This window comes from Homo sapiens, chromosome 8 (assembly GCF_000001405.40).
Source record: "Homo sapiens chromosome 8, GRCh38.p14 Primary Assembly".
Classification (NCBI taxonomy): Eukaryota; Metazoa; Chordata; class Mammalia; order Primates; family Hominidae; genus Homo; species Homo sapiens.
The window spans coordinates 15,971,554-15,995,604 of NC_000008.11; the positions used below are offsets into that span (position 1 = coordinate 15,971,554).

The 24,051-nt window shown below is 37.3% G+C and overlaps 1 annotated feature.

Annotated features, from left to right (window-relative positions):
* Positions 22,826 to 23,528: an enhancer, noted in NCBI's record as "OCT4-NANOG hESC enhancer chr8:15851888-15852590 (GRCh37/hg19 assembly coordinates)". NCBI's record gives its function as "activates a minimal SCP1, AML or CMV promoter by ChIP-STARR-seq in primed H9 embryonic stem cells {active_cell/tissue: H9 hESC(primed)}" and the evidence as "EXISTENCE:reporter gene assay evidence [ECO:0000049][PMID:30033119]".

Below are 24,051 nucleotides of genomic sequence, written 5' to 3' on the forward strand. Positions count from 1 at the left end.
GGTTATTTATTTTTATTTTTATTTTATTTTATTTTATTTTTTTTGAGACGGAGTCTCGCTCTGTCACCCAGGCTGGCGTGCAGTGGCGCGATCTCGACTCACTGCAAGCTCCGCCTCCCGGGCTCACGCCATTCTCCTGCCTCAGTCTCTCAGAGTAGGTGGGACTATAGGAGCCCGCCACCACACTCTGCTTATTTTTTTGTATTTTTAGTAGGACGCGGTTTCACCATGTTAGCCAGGATGGTCTCGATCGCCTGACCTCGTGATCTGCCCGTCTCGGCCCCCCAAACTGCTGGGTTTACAGGCGTGAGCCACCGCGCCCGGCCTCTATTGGGTTATTTAGATGACAGAGGTAATGAGATGGGTCAGATACTCCGCAACTCTTTTGTTTCTAAGCACACATTTTCCCTGGTCCTTGCCAGCACCAGAGGAAATGGTTTAAAAGAGACATTCATAAAAGCTGGGGTGTCAACGCTCTACTGTTTATTTTTACCTATGTTACATTATTTACATTATTTATAAGCAAACACTATGCTGTTATATTTATTAAATACCCTCTTTTATTTTCCTGTTCAATTTATACCTAAGGCATCTCACATTCATCCCAAAAGTTTGTTACCTTGCAACATTGTCACCTAAAAACACTATCTTTCAAAAAGTGACAATTTTATGCAGTTATATTTTTTGCTAACCTTTTAATTGCACCTTATTGTTCTCTTTTTTCTAATAGCATCTCCAAATATTTCTTTTTGCCCTGAATATTGCTTTTTTAAAAAGCCTTAGATTTCTATAATTTCAGTAGGTAATTTACATTTATTTTATAAGCACAAAGAGAATAGTAATAAAAAGAGAACAAAAGGCAAGCATGTTATCAAACACTCTGCCGGCATCATCTTTAACAGACTTGGTAAAGAGTTCCCAACCATTTGCAGAGCTCTGCATAAGCAGACCTGGAAAAATTAACAGATCTGATCAGTATTCACCCACTAAAGAATGGCAGACTTGTATGGAAGAAGACATGGTGAGACCATATGTTTACCTTGAGGTTTTGTCCTGAAGATTTGTCAAAGACCGTCTTTGGAGAAGTTGGGGAAACATTTGACTCTCCTGCCAATATGCATGAAAAGATTTAATAATGGTGTCTCTGTGACTTCCTTTTGGTCTCATAATACTAACAGCAATCAAAGCCTAAATAGAGGAATAAAGATAAAAGCAACTTAGAATATTTAGCATACAAACCCAAGCAGACGGCCAAAGTTTTGGAAGGAAGTGAGCAGTAAGGGTGATGGTAAGCAATGAGAATGTGACCTGTGTATACATTTCTGTCAACCTGAAGTCTGGATTTCTGAGTATTCTTGACAAGGTTGCCTGGAGAGGATTCACGGAGGAAGAGTTTATAGAGCTGGTAGAATAAGATATTGGTGATAAAATGTAGAGTCACATGTTATATTCCCTGAGAAATGGACTATAAGGGATCATGTGTGGAAATTTTCTTAGGAGCTGCCCTTGGAAGGGAAAGGAAAGAAGCAGGATTGGATAGAGGGAATAGTTGGGCTGTGACGCTGTTTTGGTTTTCATTGTTATGCTTTCTTTCTAATTTGATCTTGACGTCTTCTCTTGAGACTATCCATAAGCTTTCCCCTTGCCTGATTGGAAATTCAAGGAATTTGGCCATGGATGTTTATAATGTGCATTCACAGAGTGCTTCTTTATCCTAGAAGATAGCCTGAGTCCTAAATGTTGACCCGTGACCTTGTGTTCCTCTCACAGGAATCTTGTTTGTACCAGCAGATGCCCTTGCGGCTCTTATCTGATCTATGTCCACTTTATTCCTGTCATTATAACCACTCTCTAAGAGAGCTGTGAATAGAAATAAGGTGAGAAGCAGGTGTGTGTGTGTGTGTGTGTGTGTGTGTGTCAGGTGAGACACAACAAGGAAGGGAAACCAAAATGCATGAAGTAGAAGAAATTTGTTACTCAATGGTCTCAGAGAGGTCAGGAACTAAGGGATGCCAAAGGGAGGCCAATGGAAAGCCCAGAGTTGGTGGAGAGTACAACCAGTGAGTAAGGGGAGGAGAGGGAGGAGGAAGGGAAGGGCAGCAGGGAGAGAGAGAGAGAGAGAGAGAGAGAGAGAGAATGAGAACAAGCCCATGAGACTATGCCTTTATTAAGGTCCATGAACATTGTTCCTTAGGGTTTTCCTGAAGGTTGTCTATTGGTTAGTGTCAAGAAGACTCAGGCAGTGGGTGAGAACTCATTTCCATGGCTCTGGCTAACGACCGTTAGATTTTACTGTGGTCAGCAGCTGTGGGGTGTGTTGGGCTGTGGATCAGTAAGATGAGGAACAAGCAGGATATAATGCAAACAACCACCACACAAGGAGGAAAAGTTTTAACTAGGCCAAAGGTGATGGGATACAACTGGGTTTTAAACAACTTATGTGATGCCTAAAGATGGACACTGAGGAAGCAACTTCATTAAAAAATGATAAAAGATGCAGTTTCAATAAAGGTTTCAGCCAAACCCATGGGGAGCTCTAAAGTTGGGTGGCCCCTACATCAACAAGTTATTAAATATAGGCTTCCCAGGAAGGGTTGTGACTCTCTTTAGCTGAGACATTTTCTGAAGGGGATGGTAGGTCAGGCCTTCTACCAACAACATTGTCAGTGACTGACGGAATAAGTCTTCCAGTCATGAAGGGGAATCTGTATTACATCAGTGTATACCAGAGTCCACTGCTAGCTTTTATCACTCAGATCCACTTCTTCATATAAGTTCTCAGAGCAGCTCCTCTAAGAATTTGGAGATCTTCTTTTTGTGAGAAAGTTAGAAGAGAAGGCTAGCAGGACAAAATGCTGCTACAATGCTTCAGATGGTCTTAGAGAAGCAGCTGATACTCACCATCACATTCCTCTACCCACCATTCTCAATTCCCTTCACCCTTGCCCACCACCTCTCCGTATTTCAGTGGCTTACCTGGTAGCATGACCTATGCCCTCATCCCTGAGAAGTCTGAGCCTCTGGTACTAAGCCCTTCTTAGGCAATAGTTTCTGCGCTTGTCCATTTTTTGTTAAAACCATGCAAGGTCATATGAATAGGCAGTCATGGGAAGCATCTGGATGTGAAATATGTTCCTCCCCATCCCTATTTCTAACAGCATCTGATATAGTTTGGCTCTGTTCCCACTCAAGTTTCATCTTGAATTGTAGTTCCCATAATCCCCTTGTGTCATGGGAGGGACCCGGTGCAAAGTAATTGAATCATGGGTGCCGTTACCCTTACGCTGTTCTCATGGTAAGGAGTGAGTTCTCACAAGATCTGTTAGTTTTATAAAGGGCTTCCCTCACTTTGCTTGGCACTTCTCCTTGCTGCCACTATGTGAAGAAGGGCATGTTTTCTTCCCCTTTTGTCATGATTGTAAGTTTTCGGAGGCCTCCCCAGCCATGCTGAATGGTGAGTCAATTACATCTCCTTCCTTTATAAATTACCCAGTCTTGGGTATGTCTTTATCAGCAGCATGAGAACGGACTGATATAGCATCCCTAAGCCTTTCGATGATCAGTTTAAATAGGCCTACCAGAATGGTGACTCCTTGTCTTGCCAGCTAGTTTCTTGGAATGAGAAGGCTAAAGTTGTGGCTTATGCCTGTAATCCGAACACTTTGGGAGGCCAAGGTGGGAGGATCACTTGAGGCCAGGCATTTGAGACCAGCCTAGGCAACATAGAAAGACCCTGTCTCTACACACAATTAAAAAAGCAAAAATAAAATAGTTAGCTAGGCATGATGGCATGTGACATGACTGCATGTAGTTCTAACTACTTAGGTGGCTGAGTCAGGAAGATCACTTGAGCCTAGGAGTTTGAGGCTACAGTGAGCCATGATCATGCCACTGCACTCCAGCCTGGGGGACTGAGTAAGATGCTCTCTCAAACAAGCAAATAATAATAATAATAAAAATAAAAGTGTCATGAACTATAAGCAATCACAGATTATTGTTCATTGAATCCCTTGCTGTGTCCCCTGCAGACATATTCTTCCTTTGGGAATGAGAGCCCTAATACTACAGAATTCAGATTTGTGGGGAGGAGAAGCACAGATTTCTCAAGTGCACTGCCAAGAGTGATAGTAAGCAAAGTCAACCTGCTTCCTCCTCTTGGTTTATTGACCCATGTATTCTACGTAAGGGGGACAGCACCAACTAAGGCTGTTGATTTAAAGCATATATTGCATTCTGGAGAATGGTGGTAATCAATGGCTGCTGCAAAGAAAGAGGATGGAGTACAACAAAAGTTTAGAACAAAGAAATGAGAATGGACCTATGGAAGTGCAAAATCTTCATATCTCATGTTGACAACCACCTCAAAGCATTCATTATGGAACAGGCACTAAACAACAACTAGGCAAGTAGACAAAATTCCTTGACCAGTTTGCAGCAGCCACCCTATTTCACTGTACTTATAGTTACTATATTCCTCATTATCTCAAACGCTTGATATATCTTGTCTGCTAGTGCATTTTCTTCCACTGGAATTCAATCCTATCTCATTCCCTGTGAAAGGTTTGATAATTACCCTGTACTCATGGCAGGGACTATCTGTGTTCCATTTGACATTGGTGAGGGGGTTTAGTCTGGCATTGCCATCTGGGCGGGGTGATCCAACTCTCAAATTCTATCTACTGTCTTCTTCTTCAGACCAATTCTGATACCAGCTCTCACAAGTTGAGGTCATTGGGAAGCAAATTATGACTTGAAGATCAGTTTCCTAAAGTTTACTAGGGAGTCCTCCCTCTGTCAACACTCATGGAAGCGAAGGAGAGGAAGTCATATTAGGAAGTTGGTTTCAATGCAGAAAACCCCATGTGAAGCTCTGAAACTGGGGTGAACTCTGAACTAACTGGTTATGAATTGGAGGCTGCCCCAAGAAGGGTGGTACCATGGACACTCTGTGGCTGAAGGCTGTCTGTTGGTACTCCGAGTACCTGGGAACTAAGTCTTTTATTTCTGAAAGGGGATTTGGGCAGCACATGACAGCATCCATTATAGGCAGTTACTAACTCTTTCAAATTGTTCACATTTACACTTTCTACTAGTGTCTACGTAATACAAATAAGGGAACACTACTCTGTCTAGAGGTCTCTTCCAAGACTTCAAATACCAGTTCTCTCCAAGCAGCATCTACGTTTCTTTCCCCCTTTTATACCCCTTATCACAATGTGCTACACTTGCTGAATTTCCAGACTGCAAATCTCCTAAGACAGAAATCTTTTTTAGTTCGGTATTTGCTTTCTTTAAAGCAAATCTTTATATAAAAAAGATTCTAGCACTGTGTTTTGGTATAGAATTGTGCTCAGTAAAATATTTATGATTAATTTAATATACTGCAGGTTTATGTATACATGTGTATATAATATTTCAGCTCTTCCAAAGTCAGACAAAGCTCAATCTAACTGTAGGTTAAACAAATAAAAAGCTATTGGAAAAAGTAATTTAGACACTGCTCAGGCGCATTTAGTCAAACCTAAGAGTTATATAACTTGAGACATGAAAAAAAACATCCAGATGCAGCTGCTGTTAGTTCTGCATGAGATTTTATCACTAGTGATTCATTTCTTTAGATTCCAATTTACTTTTCCCAAGAGAAATCTGTTAAATGCAAATGCCATTGGAAAACTAAGGTATTATTAGCCAGTAATACATTTGGTAAGATGATTTCATCACATTGCTTTCTAAATGGCAGCTAGCTAAGAAGTAGGGGTATATACCATAGAAAAGTTAAGATGTGAGTGAAGGGGAATATCTGAGAATAGGGTACTTTAGAGGTGTGTGTGCATGAGATGTGACTCAGCTACAGAAGAAAAGTATGATATGATCTAATCTGGGGCAGGAAAAATTAAAAAGTATGAAAAGTACGCTAAAAAGAGGAGGGATTGGATTCTAAAACTGAACTCCAGCTACATTAGAATTTTGCCCTGGGCCCTTATCATTATTTCTGAATTTTCGATCCTCTTCCAATATATTCATAAAATATCCTCTTTTTCCCATACAAGGCTATGATGTAGCCTGTCAATGCTGGTCAGGAATGAAATATCACTGCAAGAAAACTGGCATAAAAATCAGAGAACCCAAGATGGTAAAGGTAGTGTTAATAATTCTTTTTCAATCACCTCTGAAAAACACACTTCAGAATACCATCCAACACATTGGACTCAAGTTCATGGCAACTTAGCTGGTGACAGCCTCAGAAATAAACAAACAAAACAAATCCAAGTTCCCACAGTTCACAGCAAGTTATCTATGTTCTTATTTCTTCAAGACATCTTCCAAAATGAAAGATGTTTTTTTCCACCATAAAACATATTTTATTGTCTACATGCTCTATGAGTAAAAGAGCATGAGTACACAGTCAAAAATCCTGCAATTTCATTAAAAAACTTAATGTAATAATAGGTATGCATTGCTTGCCACTAATTCCCAGGGTTAGTAAATATCTGGAAATAGTAGATATATGTTGTGAATAGTATTAAAAAGTAACATCCTTTTTTTACTCCAATATTATTCTGCTAGGCCAGCCATTTAAAAATAAAAAGTTTTTGGTCATGCCCCCCCAGATTATATTTATTTCTTCACTAATAGCTGACACTTTCTTTTGGCCTTTTTCCCTATAAATCGCTAGTAAAATCAGTAATAATATATTGAAATTTGGATGCAAAATATATAGACAATGTACAATGCAAAATGTAAATTGGGACATGAAAAACGATTGAGTGGTCTCATTTTTAAATGTCAAGAAAATTGAAATTCTTTTTTTATAACAAGATAGTTCACAGATACTTCTTTCTCCAAAAACTGAAAGTAGAGAGAACTTTTGAAAAGCAAGGGTGATTCACTAGCATAAATTTAGCAGAAAAAAAATTTATTTCATTCTGCCAGCCTTCCCTAGAGAAAGTAATAGAAAGCACAAGTAAGGAACAAGTCTAAGGCACCTTTAAATCCATTTCTTTTCCTTTGTCACAAAATCACAGTGCAGCCTGAATGACCTCGGAGCCAATACTTCCAGGTAAAAAATAAATAAATAAAAATAAAAATAATTGCTGAGATGAGTTCAAGTAAATAACATGTAAAATTAATATTCTCATTACAATCTTTTTATTTTATATAAGTAAAAGAAGACTTGAAATATTCTCAACCTGATGATAATTATTACTTATATCCATAACATCTCTTTTGAGGACATTGCTGGAGAATGTAGAGCGAGAGAATAAACATAATCTTATGAGGCATAAAGCAAACTTTCCCACAATTGGGAATATAAAAAAAAATTCCCATTTGTTTAAACAGCAAGAATATTAAATGAATCAGATAATCATAGAATTCTGAGGAGGGAGAAGATTTAGAAGTGTTTAAATGCAATCCTTCAATTTTCTTCAGCTAAATGACTATACATATGTTTTAAATAAAAAATTGAAAATCCTAATATTAACCTATCAAATCATTTTAACATTGACTTTATATTTTATTAAAGCATGAAATCAAGCAAAGAAGACCAATATCTTCAATATTTTTTTCATGTACCGAATTGAGTCCTTTATTTTTTTATTGATGAGTAATAAATGTACATATTTTCACGGAACAAATGATCACTTGATATATTCATAAAATGTGTAAAGATCAAATCAGGGTAATTGGGCTATCTATCATCTTAAATATTTATCTTTCTTTTATGCTATGAACATTTGAATTATTTTCTTCTAGCTATTTTGAAATATATATTACATTACTGTTAACTATAGCCATCCTATTGAACACTAGGTCTTATTTTTTTAATTTAATTTGTACCCATTAATCTCTTTATCCTCTCCTCCACTCTACACTTCGTGGCCTCTGGCAACTGCCAATCTGCTCTCAATCTTCCTAAGATTCACCTTTTTAGGTCCCATATATGCGTGAGGACATTGTGACTTTTGTCCTTCTGTGATTGGCTTATTTTGCTTAACATAATGACCTCCAGTTCCATCCATGTGGCTGAAAATGACAGGATTTAGTTTTTTAAAGACTGAATAATGTTCCATTGTGTGTGTGTGTATACACATATACCACGGTTTCTTTATCTATCATCCATTGATGGGCATTTGGGTTGATTCCATATTTTAGCTATTGTGAATGGTGCTGCAACATACACGAGAGTGTAGATATCTCTTTGATATATTGACTAACTCTCCTTTAGATATGTACTCAGTAGTGGAATTGTTGGATCATATGGTAGTTCTGTTTTTTGCTTTTTGAAGAGTCTCCATATTGTTTTCCATAGTGGCTGAACTATTCACATTCCCACCAACAGTCTACAAAGGTTTCTTTTCTAATTGAGTGTCTTTTGATATACTACCTACTACCGTCAATAGTGTTGATGCTATCTTCTCAAAAAATGGAATCAAAGTTGACATATTTTAAAAGTTTACTTGTCACTGAGCCTGCTTTTCATGACACTCACACTCACACTAGTTCCCAGAGAAATACTGTCACTCACACTCGTTTTGGCTTAATATGGTTAATATGATACTGTTAAGTCAGACAATGTTTGATCTGTTAGACTATTTTAATAAAAATGTGTTTGAGTTGTAAATCTGAAGAATCACAAGAAAAATACGAGGATATCTTTGGTTATAACTTTGCATGCATTCTGTTCAACAAAATTCCTGTTTTTCCTTAGTTCCTTTTAGGATCTTGACAGAGATATTTAATAGCACTTGATTTCATGGGAGTGATGTCTACACTACAGGATATTAGATTATAACTACAAAGTTGTGTGTGTGTGTGTGTGTGTGTGTGTGTGTTTATGTGCATGTTTCAAAAAAGGTAAGGTGGTAAATTGAGCAGCCATGTGCCAAGGTCTATGTTGAATTTGACTTAGTCATGTATTCCCAAAAGCTTCATCTTTTTGTGAAATAGCCATGCAGTCCTTGGATGTTTAAAAAGGAACCTGGATATTTAAAATATAATAAACTTACTTCTTGTGGCTGCCAGTTCACAAGTGAACTCAGCCTCTTTGTAATATATTCTTTGAGGATAAAAATACGTTATAGACATGAAAGAAGAGACTTCCATGAACACCAGTGAAGTGTAGCAATGCCTGTTAAAAGCACTGTATCCGTCAATGTCACCTTTCAGAGTGTTCTTTGGAAAAGTTGTCAGTTTCTCATTTTCAGACAGTGATTCTTGTCCTATTCAACAACCATTTTTAAGTAACTCCCTGAATGTCTTTTCTTATGTTAGCTCTTTTCAAACCATTAGGATACATCAATGTACTGTTGAATACATCAATTTCCAAACCTCACAAAGTCAAGGAAAACAAAAGCATGCGTGACTGTCCCTTCTTTGAAAATGGCATCAATATAAATTTTAGAGCTCATAAAGCTCAGTGAGCTTATTCCATTTCATCTCTTTTTAGTTTGAGTAGTTTTTATGTGGATGAATTTTCTGACATGTTTCATGAACTTACTTTCTGACAGTTTCAGTAGGCTGCACAAACATTGTTCACCTGAAATGTGCTCATTCCTATACTCCCTTTGCCTATTACAACTTTAAATAGCTCTTTTCTAGTCTCCTCAGAATAATTTTTGCATTCGCTATGCAGTACCCTTATTGTAGTACACTGGCATCTTTTGGATTTAATGAAAATTCCCAGCATAGGAATTTACCTTTCAAAATAAAATGCTGTGTTATATTTTATAGGATTATTTCTGTAAGTTATTGTTTTGATATAATTTTTAACTTATAGAAGAGTAGCAAGAATAGTATAAGAAGCTCCATATATCCTTTACCCAGATTCACTGATTTACATTTTGCCCAATTTACTTCATCATTCTTTCACTCTATCTGTAATTTTTTTCTTAACTGAGAGTAAATTGGAGATGTGCCTATTTACCATGAAATAATTATTTTTCTTAAGAACAAGAACTTTCTTTTACATAACCACACGACAGTTCTCAAAATCAGAAATTTGAGCATTGGTACAACAATATTATCTAATTCACAGTTCATATACTGATAATCACCAATTGCTTCATAAATGTCTTTTGTAGCTGTTTTTCCCATGAAGAATCAATTTGTCATCATGTATGTGTATATTTGCCATACTGCTTTAATTTTCTTTCATCCTCAGCCTTTATTTTTCTTTACCTTGACATTTTTGGAGAGTACAGGCCAGTTATTTTGTAGAATGTCCCTCAATTTGGTTTGTCTGATGTTTCCTCATGATGAGATTCAGATGATGCATTTTGTGCAAGAATACCACAGAAGGTTATGTGTCCTTCTCAGCACATCATGTTATAAAAAAATGATGCCAGTTTGTTCCAGCCAAGGTGTTTTCTACCTTTGTCTCTTGAATGGTAACTGAGTAACCCAGGTAGCCAAAAATGGAATGGCCAAATGCCATCTAGTTTGGAAGCCTCCTGAGTATGAGAAAAAAAGAAAATATTGATCCCATAAAATTAGAGAGAATATTCTTTTTTTCCAGCTTCAGAAAGTTCTTTCTTCTTTTACTTTATGTTTTGTTTTTATGTCTACGTACTATTGTTTTTCAACAAATACTCATTGTCTCTTTGCTAGGTGTAGATATTTTTCTGTGCCACACAAAATTAAGCATTTTCCAAACCATGGTTTCATTTTCTATCTTGAACAATTTGTTTCTACTCACCAAGACTATATCAAAATGTCTGCAATGAGATCACAATTTCTTTTTAATTTCCAGTTCAAATGAACATGTTTCAAACACAGTTCTGTTTTCCCGAATGCAATGCTTTGCTCCATTTACCACTCCTGTTGTGAAACCTCCCTAGATGTTTCTAGCTTCATTCCCTCCTGTGTCTATTCGTACATTTCTGATGGCTCGTATTCATTCTTTTCAGTTGGCCATTAACCCTCCCAAGTCATCACTTGACTCTTCTTCCTTAATTTCTTCCTAAATAATCCCTTCACCTTCTCTCAAATTAAGATCTTTGGGTCTTAATTTTCCCTGGAACTCTAGACCCATATTTATAAGTGCCTTCTGGCAATTTCCACTTTGACATCTTACAACTACCTTGAAATCATCCCTACACCTGACTTCTAACCCTATTTCACTTCCTGTAATTCCTGTCCTGGTTAGTGGCATCCAACCCACCTGCTTAATATTGAAACACAAGAATTGTATTTCTCCATCTACTCAACACATCGACGTTCTCCCAGCACTTGGGAATGTAACTCGCTGACAGCTCCCAACGGTGTTCCTCCCCAGGCATTGCCTTAAGCTGAAGGGAGCACTTGCTTTTGAGGTTGTGCTTTTCCCTGGGAACAGCTTATATCCACCCACTGCTCCTCAGGAATCCCCTTGCTTCAATTTAGAACATTGTGAGAGCATCCCCAAAGGATTGGCTGTGGTCTTTATTACAACTGCACCACAGTCAACTTCTCTATCTGCTGAATCGTGATGCCCTCACACTTTCTAAATCATTCTAAGATCACTAGCCAATAAATGGAAACTTAAAATCTCTCGGAGTCTCTTTCCAAGAGAAACCAAAATTTGAGACAGTCACTAATCTGCTGGACTTGGAGGGAATAGAATTTTATGATTTGGCAGAAAATTCTACCTATAACAGTGTTTTAGGTAAGAGGAGGATATTAGAGTCTTGTTTGATTCATGACAAACCATTGAGTAGCATCCTCACCCAAAAGCACTGATCTGAGTAAACTCACACACTTGCCCTGCTCCCATCAAGGCAAGCAGCACTTTTATGCCATTCCTGAAATAGGGTTCACCTAATAACAGTAGGGCCTAAGCTTGGGAGCAATGAGGCTGTCCTGTGGCTTCCACACTTGCTTACCTATCTGTGAGGGCTCTGCTCCATGAGGTGCTTAGGTAATGCAACATTTTAAGATTCATTTTGAAGATACTTCCAGAAGTATCTTCCCATGTAGTTCTGCAATGGTTGGTAATATATTTAAGCACTGCAATATCATGTCTCACTCTAAACAGATTTACAAAACTAAGAACTGACTCAGCATATGACTTCAAAAAATCAAGAAAGAAGTGAATTCTTAAATGCATTAATTATGAATTGTATTAAAAGTGAATTTCTACTGAATGTATGTTTACATTCAGATAATTTTGAAGCGATTCAGAAGGGCAACAAATTTATTATTATTTCTATTTGAAGTGTTTGATGATATTATATACAAACATGTATTATACTTAGGCATGATGAATTGCTAGAAAGTTAGCCGTTCTATTTGAGTATTTAAAATATATCTGAACATATAAATGGTCATCCTTCATATTTCTTGTCTGTACTGAAGCTTTTTTATTGAGGCCGAATAAAGTTCATACCAAATCTTTTTGCTAGGTATGGTCTTTATCATCCTATGTCCAGCACATATGATTTTACAGTTTCCTTTTTCATAAAATTTATAGTTCATATTAATAATAGTTTTAAAATAGCACACATATTTTGAATACCTTATTTATGCCAGGCACTGTACCAAGCACAAACCATGGGGCTAGAATTCAGTCAAGTATATTTTCTGACTCTTAAACTATCTCAAAATTACCTTTATGAAAATATATAGATTTTATTGGAATCTGACATAAATAAAAAGTAAAAAAATATTCAGCAAGGGTTGAGTAGGTTCATTGCCATTAGGCAATTTTTTGTGGGGTTATTCCAGTCAATAATAAGTAACTAGCTTTTGCTTTTGAACAAGCTGTTAATTCTTGACAAGGCTTAGAACTATATTTCTGTTCTATTTATTGTTTGCCTGAGAAATGTATCATTTCTGGGGTTTTTACGGATGTTTCTGTTTTTAATGGAAATGTACATATATTTACATCATGTAACCATAAACACAGTGTGTCTGGGTGTGAAAATACTTGGACATAATAAATAATTTTTGAGGGGGAAATCACTTGTGCTAAGTTTTCTTAGTTACTATATGCAATATTTTTAATTCATACTGAATACATGTTTTTGATTTGTATTAAACGTATGTTTACTAAAAGTCTTTTTCTCTTCAGACTGAATGTAAAGTTTTACTACCATGAAGTTAAAATTTTTAAGAAATTGCTACATTCTCTGTTAAAGTTAGTATTCAGGGTCAATTTTCCTAGCACAGAACAGTATCCCAGCACCACAGATATAAAATAAAATATATGAAACATTCAGAAACGTCTGCCAGTCTCCAGTGAATACTCTGCAATCAATCTGTGCTATCATAAAATAAGAATACAGGTCTTTGCTTAGAATTACTAGTGCACAGTATCTCATTAACTAACCCAGCCAATGAATTAGAGTCACTGAAAGGAGCATGATAGGACTTCGGGGGAATATAACCATTTTCCTCATTAAGTACTAACAAGCCAGTTCTCATACTTCCCTGATATCATTATGTTCCCTACATTTCTGCCCTGCCCATTAACTATAATCCTAATAATCACCCCTCTGCTTATAGCAGCTTGTCTTTTTAATTTCCCTACTGTATCACTTTTGAACATATTTCCCTTGCAGTTACACATTTTCTTCCTTTGGCAAAACTGTCAATCCAAAATAATCTAACTTTTCATTTATGAGCCTGGTTGAATCTTTTAAGCAGCCCGGTAATAATGCATGTGGTTGAAAATGTGACTGAATATAAAAGACACGACACTGTAAATTGGCACAATGATGAGGTGTATTAATAATGTCGGGATGTGTCCACATAGGATACTCTTCATGGTGGGAGAAGGCTGGCTAACTAGTCAGACAGGAAACCCCCCTGTGAGTTGGCAGGGAGCATTCTGTTTACACGAGTGACTATAATGATGCCTGTGCCAATGCTAGAAAAGATTCTCTCTCGGGTCTTAACAATAGGATATAAAAATTCTCTTGCAGAGATTACTTATATGCACAGTTGAGAGTGGACTGCCCATCAATTAAGTGGCTCTTCCTATTTAGAATGTTTTTCTTAAATTCTTGGTGTTTTCGAAGTTACATTAAATAGAAATACATGATTTATATTTGAGTCTGTGACTGAAGCATATAGTATTGTGTATGAACCCATGTCCTCCTTTCTTTTTCTTTTCTTTTCTTTTTTTTTTTTTTTTTTTTTTTTTTTGAGACAGAGTCTCAGTCTGTTGCCCAGGCTGGAGTGTAGTGGAGCCATCTTGGCTCACCACAACCTCCACCTCCCAGGTTCAAGTGATTCTCCTGCCTCAGCCTCCCGAGTAGCTGGAACTACAGGCGTCTGCCACCACGCCTGGCTAATTTTTGTATTTTCAGTAGAGACGGGGTTTCACAATGTTGGCCAGGCTGGTCTGGAACTCCTGACCTCGTGATCTGCCTGCCTCAGCCCCCCAAAGTGCTGGGATTACAGGTGTGAGCCACTGCGCCTGGCCTATGTCCTTCTTTCAATACAGGCTCTCTTCTCCTCCTTACCCTCCGATTCTCTTTCAAACCTGTCTCTCTCAATGTAAGGATTAGTGCTCAAATTCTGTAGGTAGTTATGAACATTATAGGGTATCTACAGGGTGTCTGAATTCTTTCATAGAAGCAAAGCTCCCATATGTGAATTCTTTTGAATTATGAAAATCTTCGCAGCCTGTTTTACAAAGAGGAAATTCAACCTGGAGCTGAGTCATTTTTGTTTTTCTTTTACCGTTCTTCTAATTTATACAACGTTTGCACTTTGTGTGCTATTATTCCCAAGTGCAAAAGTACAAAAACATTATTAGTAAAGTTAAATATCAGTTGACAGCTTGTATCATGTAACTTTCATATCCTTTGTTGAGTGGTCATTTGGAAAAGACGATTCATTTTGTTTCCCTTGTTTTTGGAGGACACATTTAGATATCCATATAGCTCACAGGAGGGCTGTCCAGAGTCTAGGAAACTGTGGAAGTAATCATTTGGCCTAAATTATTTAAATAGTTCCCATCATTTCCTGGATTTACTTTGGCTACAGACATCTTCTCCACATAAACCCAATAAATTATGGCCACTGATACTGAATAATACATGGTAAGTGACTAAAAAGCAATAATATACCCATGAGTGGTTTGCATGAATGTTAAATAGCTAGTAGACATCACTTAGAAAATTTATTATTTAGCATGTTTACAAAGTACATTTATCACATTCTATCTTTTTATTTTTTATTAAAAAATTCTATTGAGAAGTGTCTGTTCATATCCTTCGCCCACTTTTTGATGGGGTTGTTTTTTTCTTGTAAATTTGTTTGAGTTCATTGTAGATTCTGGATATTAGCCCTTTGTCAGATGAGTAGGTTGCGAAAATTTTCTCCCATTTTGTAGGTTGCCTGTTCACTCTGATGGTTGTGCAGAAGCTCTTTAGTTTAATTAGATCCCATTTGTCAGTTTTGGCTTTTGTTGCCATTGCTTTCGGTGTTTTAGACATGAAGTCCTTGCCCATGCCTATGTCCTGAATGGTATTGCCTAGGTTTTCTTCTAGGGTTTTTATGGTTTTAGGGGAACATCACACTCCGGGGACTGTTTTGGGGTGGGAGGAGGGGGGAGGGGGGAGGGATAGCATTAGGAGATATACCTAATGCTAAATGACGAGTTAATGGGTGCAGCACACCAACACGGCACATGTATACATATGTAACAAACCTGCACATTGTGCACATGTACCCTAAAACTTAAAGTATAATAATAATAAAATTAAAAAAAAATTCTAATGATATATAAGATTTGTAAATATTTATGGGGTGCATGTGATTTTTGAAACACGCAGTACAATGCGTAATGATCAAATGATGGTATTTAGGATATCCATCACCTCGAATATTTATCAGTTCTTTCTGTTGGGACCATTCCAAATCTTCTCTACTTATATGACAACATACAACAAATTGTTGTTAATCATAGTTACAGTCGAGTGTTATCGAACAATAGAACTTGTTCTTTCTATCTAACCAAATGTTTGTACTCATTAACTAACCTCTCTGCATCCCACCCCCATAACCTTCCCAACCCCTGGCAACTGTCATTCTACTCACTACTTCCATGAGATCAAATTTTACATCCAAATTATGAGAGAGAAAATGCGATATTTGTCTTTCCGTGTGTGGCTTACTTCATGTAACACAATGACCTCCAGTTCCATCCATGTTGCTGCAGATGACAATATTTTATTCTTTTTTGTGGCTGAATAGTATTCCAGTGTACCATAAAATCTTTGCCTAGAACAATGTCCTGAAACATTTACCCTACGTTTTCTTCTACTAGTTGCATAGATTTGAGTCTTATGTTTAAGTTTTTAATCCACATTGAGTTGATTTTTCTATTTGGTGATATATAGGGATCTAGTTTTATTCTTCTGCATATGGACATGAAGTTTTACCAGCACCATTTATTGTAGAAGGTATCCTGTCACCAGTGTGTGTTCTTGATGTCTTTGTCAAAAATCAGTTGACTGTAAATACATGCATTTATTTCTGGGTTTTCTATCCTGTTCCATGGTCTGTGTGTCTGTTTTTATACCAATACCCATGCTGTTTTGGTTGCTATAGCTTTGTATTATATTTTGCAGTCTGATAGTGTTATAGTTTCAGCTTTGTTCTTTTTGCTTGGTATTTACCTTGCCTGTTTGTGATCTTTAGTGGTTCCATACAAATTTGCAGATTGCTTTTTCTATTTCTGTGAAGAATGTCACTGGGACTTTGATAAAGATTGCATTGAATCTGTAGATTTTTGGGGGGTAATATGGTCATTTTAACAATTTTAATTCTTCTGTTCCACAAGGATGGTGTTTTTCCAATTGTTTGCATTCTTTTCCATTTATTTCATCAGTGTTTTGTAGAGTTTCTTGTAGAGGTCTTTAGCCTCCTTGGTTAAATTCCTTCCTAGGTATTTTACATTTTTGTAGCTATAGTAAACAGAGTTGCTTCCTTGATTTCTTTTTTAGGTAGTTTTTGTTATTGGTTTATGGAAATGCTACTGAGTTTTGTATATTGATTTTGTATCCTGCAGCCTTAGCAAATTATTTTATCAGTTCAAACAGTGTTTTGGTAGAGCCTTTATACATAGAAAAAGCTATATAGCTTTTTCTATACATAAGGTCACATCTGCAAAGAGGGACAATTTAATTTTCTCTTTTCAAATTTGAATGCCTTTTATTTCTCTCTTTCCTGATTGCTCTGGTAAAGATGTACAATACTACGTTGAATAAAACTGGTGAAGGTGGGCATCCTTGTCTTGTTCCAGTTCTTAGAGGAAAGGCTTTCATCCTTTCTTCGTTCAGTATGGTGTTAGCTGTGGGTTTGTCATATATGGCCTTTATTATGTTGAGTAATGATATTGCCTAATATGTTGAGAAAGGATGTTGAATTTTACCAAATGCTTCTGCTGCATCTGTAGAGATGGTCATACATTTTTCACCATTCATTCTATATGATGTATTACTTTTATTGAATTTTGTATATTGAACATTGATGGCTCCCTAGGATAAGTCCCACTTGATGGTGGTGTATTATGTTTGATGTGCTGTTAGATTCAGTTTACCAGTGTTTTGTTAAGGATTTTTCTGTCTATGTTCACCAGAGCTACTGGCCTATAGTTTGTGTGTGTGTGTGTGTGTGTGTGTGTGTGTGTGTGTGTGTGTTTCCTTGTCTGGTTTTGGTATCATAGTAATGCTAGCCCTATAGAATTCTGTACTTTAAAATTTCTGGAATAGTTTGAGAAGAATTGTATTAGGATTTCCTTACAAGTTTGGTAGAATTAAGCAGTAAAGTAATCTGGTCATGAGATTTTCTTTGTTGGGAGAATTTTTTTTCTTGTTTTTTTTTATGGATTCTAAATTATTACCTGCTATTTGTCTGTTTGTGTTTCTTTTTTCTTCTTGGTTTGATCTTGGTAGCTTGTATACGTTCACGATTTATTCATTTCTCCTAAATTTTCCAATCTGTTTTCACATAGTTGTTTCTAACAGTCTCTGATGATCCTTTGTATTTCTGTGGTATCAATTGTAATGTCTTCTTTTTTGTTTCTGATTCTGTTTATTTGGGTCTTTTCTGTTTTTTTTTTCTTGGTTAATATAGCTAGCAGTTTATCAATTTTATCTTTTCAAAAAATAAAATTTTGGTTTGATTTGTCCTTTGTTTTTGTTTTTTTTTTAAGCCTCTATTTTATTTAGTTCTGCTTTGATCTTTATTATTTCTTTCCTTCTACTAATGTTGGTGTTGCTTTGTTCTTGCTTTTCTTGTTCCTTGGGGTGCATTATTAGGTTGTTTATTTGACATCTTTGTATTCTTTGATGTATGTGTTTGTTGCTATAAAATTTCCTCTTAGCATTGTTTTTGCTGTATCCCATAGGTTTTGTTATGTTGTTTTATTTGTCCATTTTCAAACTGCTATAAAGAACTTCCATGAGATTGGGTAATTTATAAAAGTAAGAGATTTAATTGACTCACAGTTCCACATGGCTGGGGAGGCCTCAGGAAACTTACAATCATGGTGGAAGGTGAAGTGGAAGCAAGCACCTTCTTCCAAGGTGACAAGAAAGAGAGGAAAAGGAACTGCCAAACACTTATAAAATCATCAGGGCTTATGAGAACAGCATGGGGAAAACTGCCCCTATGATCTAATCACTTCCCCCCCGGTCCCTCCCCTGACATGTGGGGATTATGGGTATTATAATTTAAGGTGAGATCTGGGTAGGGACACAGAGCCAATCCATATCAGTGTGTTTCCATTTTTATTTAAGAAATATTTTATTTCTTTCTTAATTTCTTTATTGACCCAACAGTCATTCAAGAACATGTTGTTTAATTTCTATGTATTTGAACAGTTTTTACAGTTCTTGTTCTTATTCATTTCTAGTTTTATTCCATTGTGATGCCTGATGTGATTTTGATCATTTAAAATTTGTTGAGACTTCTTTTGTGTTCTAACATTTATTCTGCAGAATGTTTCATGTGCTGATCAGAAGATTGTGTGTTCTGCAGCAGTTAGATGGAATGCTTTGTAAATGTCTATTAGGTCTATCTGGTCTAAAGCACAATTTGAATCCGATGTTTCTTTTCTGATTTTCTGTCTAGATGATTTGTTCAATGCTGAGTGGGGTGTTGAAGTCACCAACTGTTATTGTATTCAAGTCTATCACTTCCTTTAGATTTAATAATATTTGATTGATCTATCTGGGTGCTCCAGTGCTCTGGGAACACGTATATTTATTGTATCCTCTTGTGAAATTGTTCCCTTTATCATTATATAATGACTTTCTTTTTCCATTTCTACTGTTTTTGAATTAAGGTCTATTTTATCTTATATAAGTATAGCTCTTCCTGCTCATTTTCGGTTTCTGTTTGCGTGGAATATCTTTTTCCTTCACTTTCAGTCTATATGTGTCTTTGCAGATGAAGTGAGTTTCTTGTAGGCAGCCCATTGTTGGTCTTCTAAAAAATCCATTCATCCAGTTTGTATCTTATAAGTGGGTAAATTAACCTGTTTATATTCAATGTTATTATTGTTAGATGAGGACTTACTCTTGCCATTTAAAAAATTTTTTTTGTATGTTTTGTATATCCATTGTTCCTTTTTTCCTCTCATTGTTTATCATTGTGGTTTGGTGGTTTTCTGTAGTGGTAATATTTGAGTGCTTTCTCTTTCTTATTTGTGTGTCTGCTCTACAAGGGAGTTTTTTCCTTTTGTGTAGTGATGGTAGATAGTGACCTTTGCTTCCAGATGTAGGGCTTCCTTAAACATTTCTTATTTACCCTGTTGGGTTAATTCTATTTGTGGATTTTTGAGTTTCCTGAATCTGGATATCTATATCTCTTGCATGACTTGAGGGAAGTTTTCAGCTATAATTTTATTAAAAAGGTGTTCTACGCCTTTGCTCATGTCTTCACCTTCTGGAAAACTTAAGATTGAAACACTGGTCACATTATGATGTCCTATATTTGACGTAGGCTTTCTTCTTCCTTTTTAAAATATTTTTCTCTTTCATTTTTGTCTGACTGGATAATTTCAAAAGGCTTATCTTCATGTTCAGAAATTTTTTCTTATGCTTGTTTTTGTCTATTGTTGAAAGTCTCAATTATATATCTTATGTCTTTTATTGAATACTTCAGTTCCAGGATTTCTAGTTTATTTTCAATGATATTTACCTCTTGTGAATTTCTTATTCAGATTACAGATTGTTTTCCCGATTTAGGTATTGTTTATCTGTGTCCCTTTTCGGATATTTCACAGATTTCTTTTTTGTTGTAATCTGTTGCTGGAGAATTACTGTGTTCTTTTTTGGAGGTATCGTATTTCCTTGCTTTCTTACATTCCTTGTATTGTTACGTTGATATCTGCACACCTGGTATCACTCTAGCTTCTTCCAATTTTATGAATTGGCTTTTGTAAGGATAGAATTTTTCCTATAGGTGTATCTATGGTGTTTGTTGGGCGAGGTGCTTTGGCTTTGATTCTGAGTGCATGCAGTAGTGTAGCCTCCATTTGATTTCTTTTGCTGTAATCAGCATCAGTGGTGTCTGTGAGTTCTTTAGTGGCTTGGGTAGTGGTTGTTAATGGAGGCTACAGTGAGGCTTTTCTGGGAACAAGGATGTCAGGCGGTCTAGTCCTTGGACTCCAGTGGTCGTGGTGGTGGTGGGTAGAGGGTGCCAGTAGTCTAGCCTCCTGGCAGCACACATAGATGGACACCAGTGGTAGCAGGTCCAAGATGGCCAACTTTGGGGACTTCAGGGACTTACTCAGGTGTCAGTGGCAGCAGTGGGCCAGGTGAGTGGGTGTGTCCTTTGGGTGGTGTGCATGGCATGCCAATCCTCAGGTCCTTGATGACACATGGGCACTAGCTCAGAGTGGTGTGAAGCAGGGCCGGCCTATCCTCAGGCCTCTGATTGCGTGCATGGGTACAGGCTGTGGCAGAAGGGACTAGTTAATTCCCAGGCCTCCGAATGATGTGCATGGTCACTGGTGGGGACAGTGCATTGTGGGAAGGACCTGTCCTTGGACCCCTATATCCATGTGCACATGGATGTAGGCTGTGATGGGTGGAGCAGGTCAGTCCCTGGGTGACATACTTGGGCACTGTGTTGGCTGAACTAGGCCTTTTGCGAAGCCTGTTGATGGTGCGTTCACAATAAACAGAGAAGATCAATCCCCAGGCCCCTGGATGGTGCACTTGAGTTGCTGTGATGGTGGCAGTGGGTGGGGCAGGCCTGTTTTCAGATCCCTAATGATGCACATGTGTGCAGGCTGTGTTGGGCAGGGCTGGTTAATCTCCAGGCCCCTAATGATGTACACGGCACTGGCAGGAGCAGTTCATATTTAGTCAAGCCTTTATATTAATGAAACAGAAAAAAATGTGATAAACTGAAAACTGTTTATCGTACTGATTCAAAAGTTTTAACAGGAGCAATTAGTTTCCAAATAACAGTATTCTTTAAAAAATAGTTAAATAGTATGGTAAATACAATAGGCAGAAGTCAAAGTTCTATTTCTTTATGAATTCAATTTACCTAACTAATGATGTTATTCATATTTGATGTAACTGAAACTTCACTTATAATGGGGTATTACACTTAAAAGCTATGACTACACAGAATCATGAAAATTGAATACAATTTGCATATCATGGATTGAAAAATGGAAAAACACAAATAATCCTTTGATTAGTACTATATTGTAATATTAAATTGCATTATAAATGAGACACAAGAGAAAAGAAAAAAACTTACTCTCATTCCTGCCTCTCCAAAATAGACATTGGTATTACTTTGGTGAACATCCTTTCAAATTTTTCCCATGCATATATGTTCTTATTGAATTACTACAGCAGTGTGTAAGTATTGCTATGGACTAAGTGGTTGTGTCCTCCCAAAATTTATATGTTGAAACTCTAATCCCTAAGGAGATGCGGTCCTTTGGAAGTAGTTAGGTCATGGGGATGGAGCCCTAGAAATGGGCCAGTTTGCTTCTTCTGACTCTCTCTTCATTCCCCACTATGTGAAGATACAATGCGAAGATGGCCATCGGAAAACCAGGAAGAGGGCCTTTACCAAGAACCCGACCATGCTGGCACCTTCATCTCAGACTTCCAGCTACCAGAACTGTGAGAAACAAATATTTGTTGTTCAAGCCTCCTTGTGTATGGCATTTTGTCATGGCAGCCCTAATTAAGACAGGCTTTTTATATACTCCTTCACTTAATATAGTCCTTGAATCTACATAAAATTCATAATTTTACTTTTATTTTATTGCTGCATGCTATTTTATTAAGCACAACTATCCATTGTGATATTGTGATATAATAAGAAATATATACAGTTTTACATTGCTTAATGACAAGGATACTTTCTGAGAAATGTGTCATTAGGTATTTTATAGTTGTGTGAACATTACAGAGTGTACTTACACAAACCCAGATGGTAGAGCCTACTATACACATTGGTTATATGGTACGGCCTACTGCTCCTAGGCTACAAACCTGTAAAGCATATTACCATACTGAATACTCTAGGCAACTGGGATTCAATGGTAAATACTTGTGTATCTAAATATATCTAACTGTAGAAAAGGCACATTAAAAATACACCATAAAATAGAAAAATGGTCCACCTGTATAGGGCACTTGTCATGAATGGAGCTTGCAGGACTGGAAGTTGCTCTGGGTGATTCAGTGAGTGAGCAGTGAGTGAATGTGGAGGCCTAGCACAACTGTAGACTTATGCTACACTACAATAAATTTATTAAAAGTAAAGTAATTGTGCTATAATGTTATGACAGCTTTGACATCACTAAGCAACAGGAACTTTTCAGCTCCATTATAATTTTATGGCTCCACAGGCATACATATAACTGATCCGTCATTGACTAAACATTATGCAGCATATGACTGCATTTTGGCCTTCATTCCCAGCTCCTGGCCAAAGCTCTTAAAACATTGATAAAAGTGAAAAGAGGCGGGCAGATCACGAGGTGAGGAGATCGAGGCCATCCTGGCTAACATGGTGAAACCCCATCTCTACTAAAAATACAAAAATTAGCTGGGCATGGTGGTGGGTGCCAGTAATCCCAGCTACTCGGGAGGCTGAGGCAGGAGAATGGCATGAACCCAGGAGGCGGAGTTTGCAGTGAGCCGAGATCGCGCCACTGCACTCCAGCCTGGGCGACAGAGTGAGACTCCGTCTCAAAAACAAAACAAAACAGAACAAAACAAAAAGTGAAAAGAGCACCTATTGTTATTCATAAGCAATCCCTTTCAACCACACCTGAGTTTATGTTAATTAGGTGGCTTTTGGTAAGTCTCTAAGGATGAGGAGCTGGTTGCCTTGGAAACCAACTATGTGATTAGAGGGTTGAGATTTTTTTGCCCTACCTCATGACCTCCAGGAAGGAGAGAGGCTGGAGGCTGAGTTAAGCACTAATAGCCAGCGATTTAGTTAATTATGCCAAAGTAATGGAACCTCTATAAAAATTCAGAAGGGCAGGGTTTGGAGAACTTACGGGTTACAGAACACAGTAGAGCGCCCAGAGGATGGCATACCTGGTGAGGGCATAAAAGCTCTGTGTCCCTCCTCCAAGCCTTGTCTTAGGCACCTATTCCACCTGGCTATTCCTGAGTTGTAACCTTTTATAATAAATGAGTGATCCAGTATGTAACTGGTTTCCTGTGAACTTGTTCTAGCAAATAATCAATTACAAAAGAGGACTGTGGGAGCCTCCGATTTTTAGCTGGTTGGCCAGAGGCACAGGTCACAACCTAAGCTTTAGATTGGCATCTGAAGAGGGGGCAGACTTATGGGACTGCCCTCCTAACCTACGGAATCTGCACTAACCCCAAGCAGATGGTGTCAGATTGAACTGAATTTTAGGAAATCCAGATGGTGTCTGGAGAGCGGCGGAATTAGTTGGTAAGAGAAAACCCCCCCACATACTTGATCACAGAAGTGTTCTGTATTGACCCTGAGTATACAGAAAAGCTGCTTTTTTTTCCTTGCATAAATATTACATAACTATTTGTCTACTTTTGGTCATTTAACTTTCCTATTTTTCCCTGTTATAACACTGTGCCT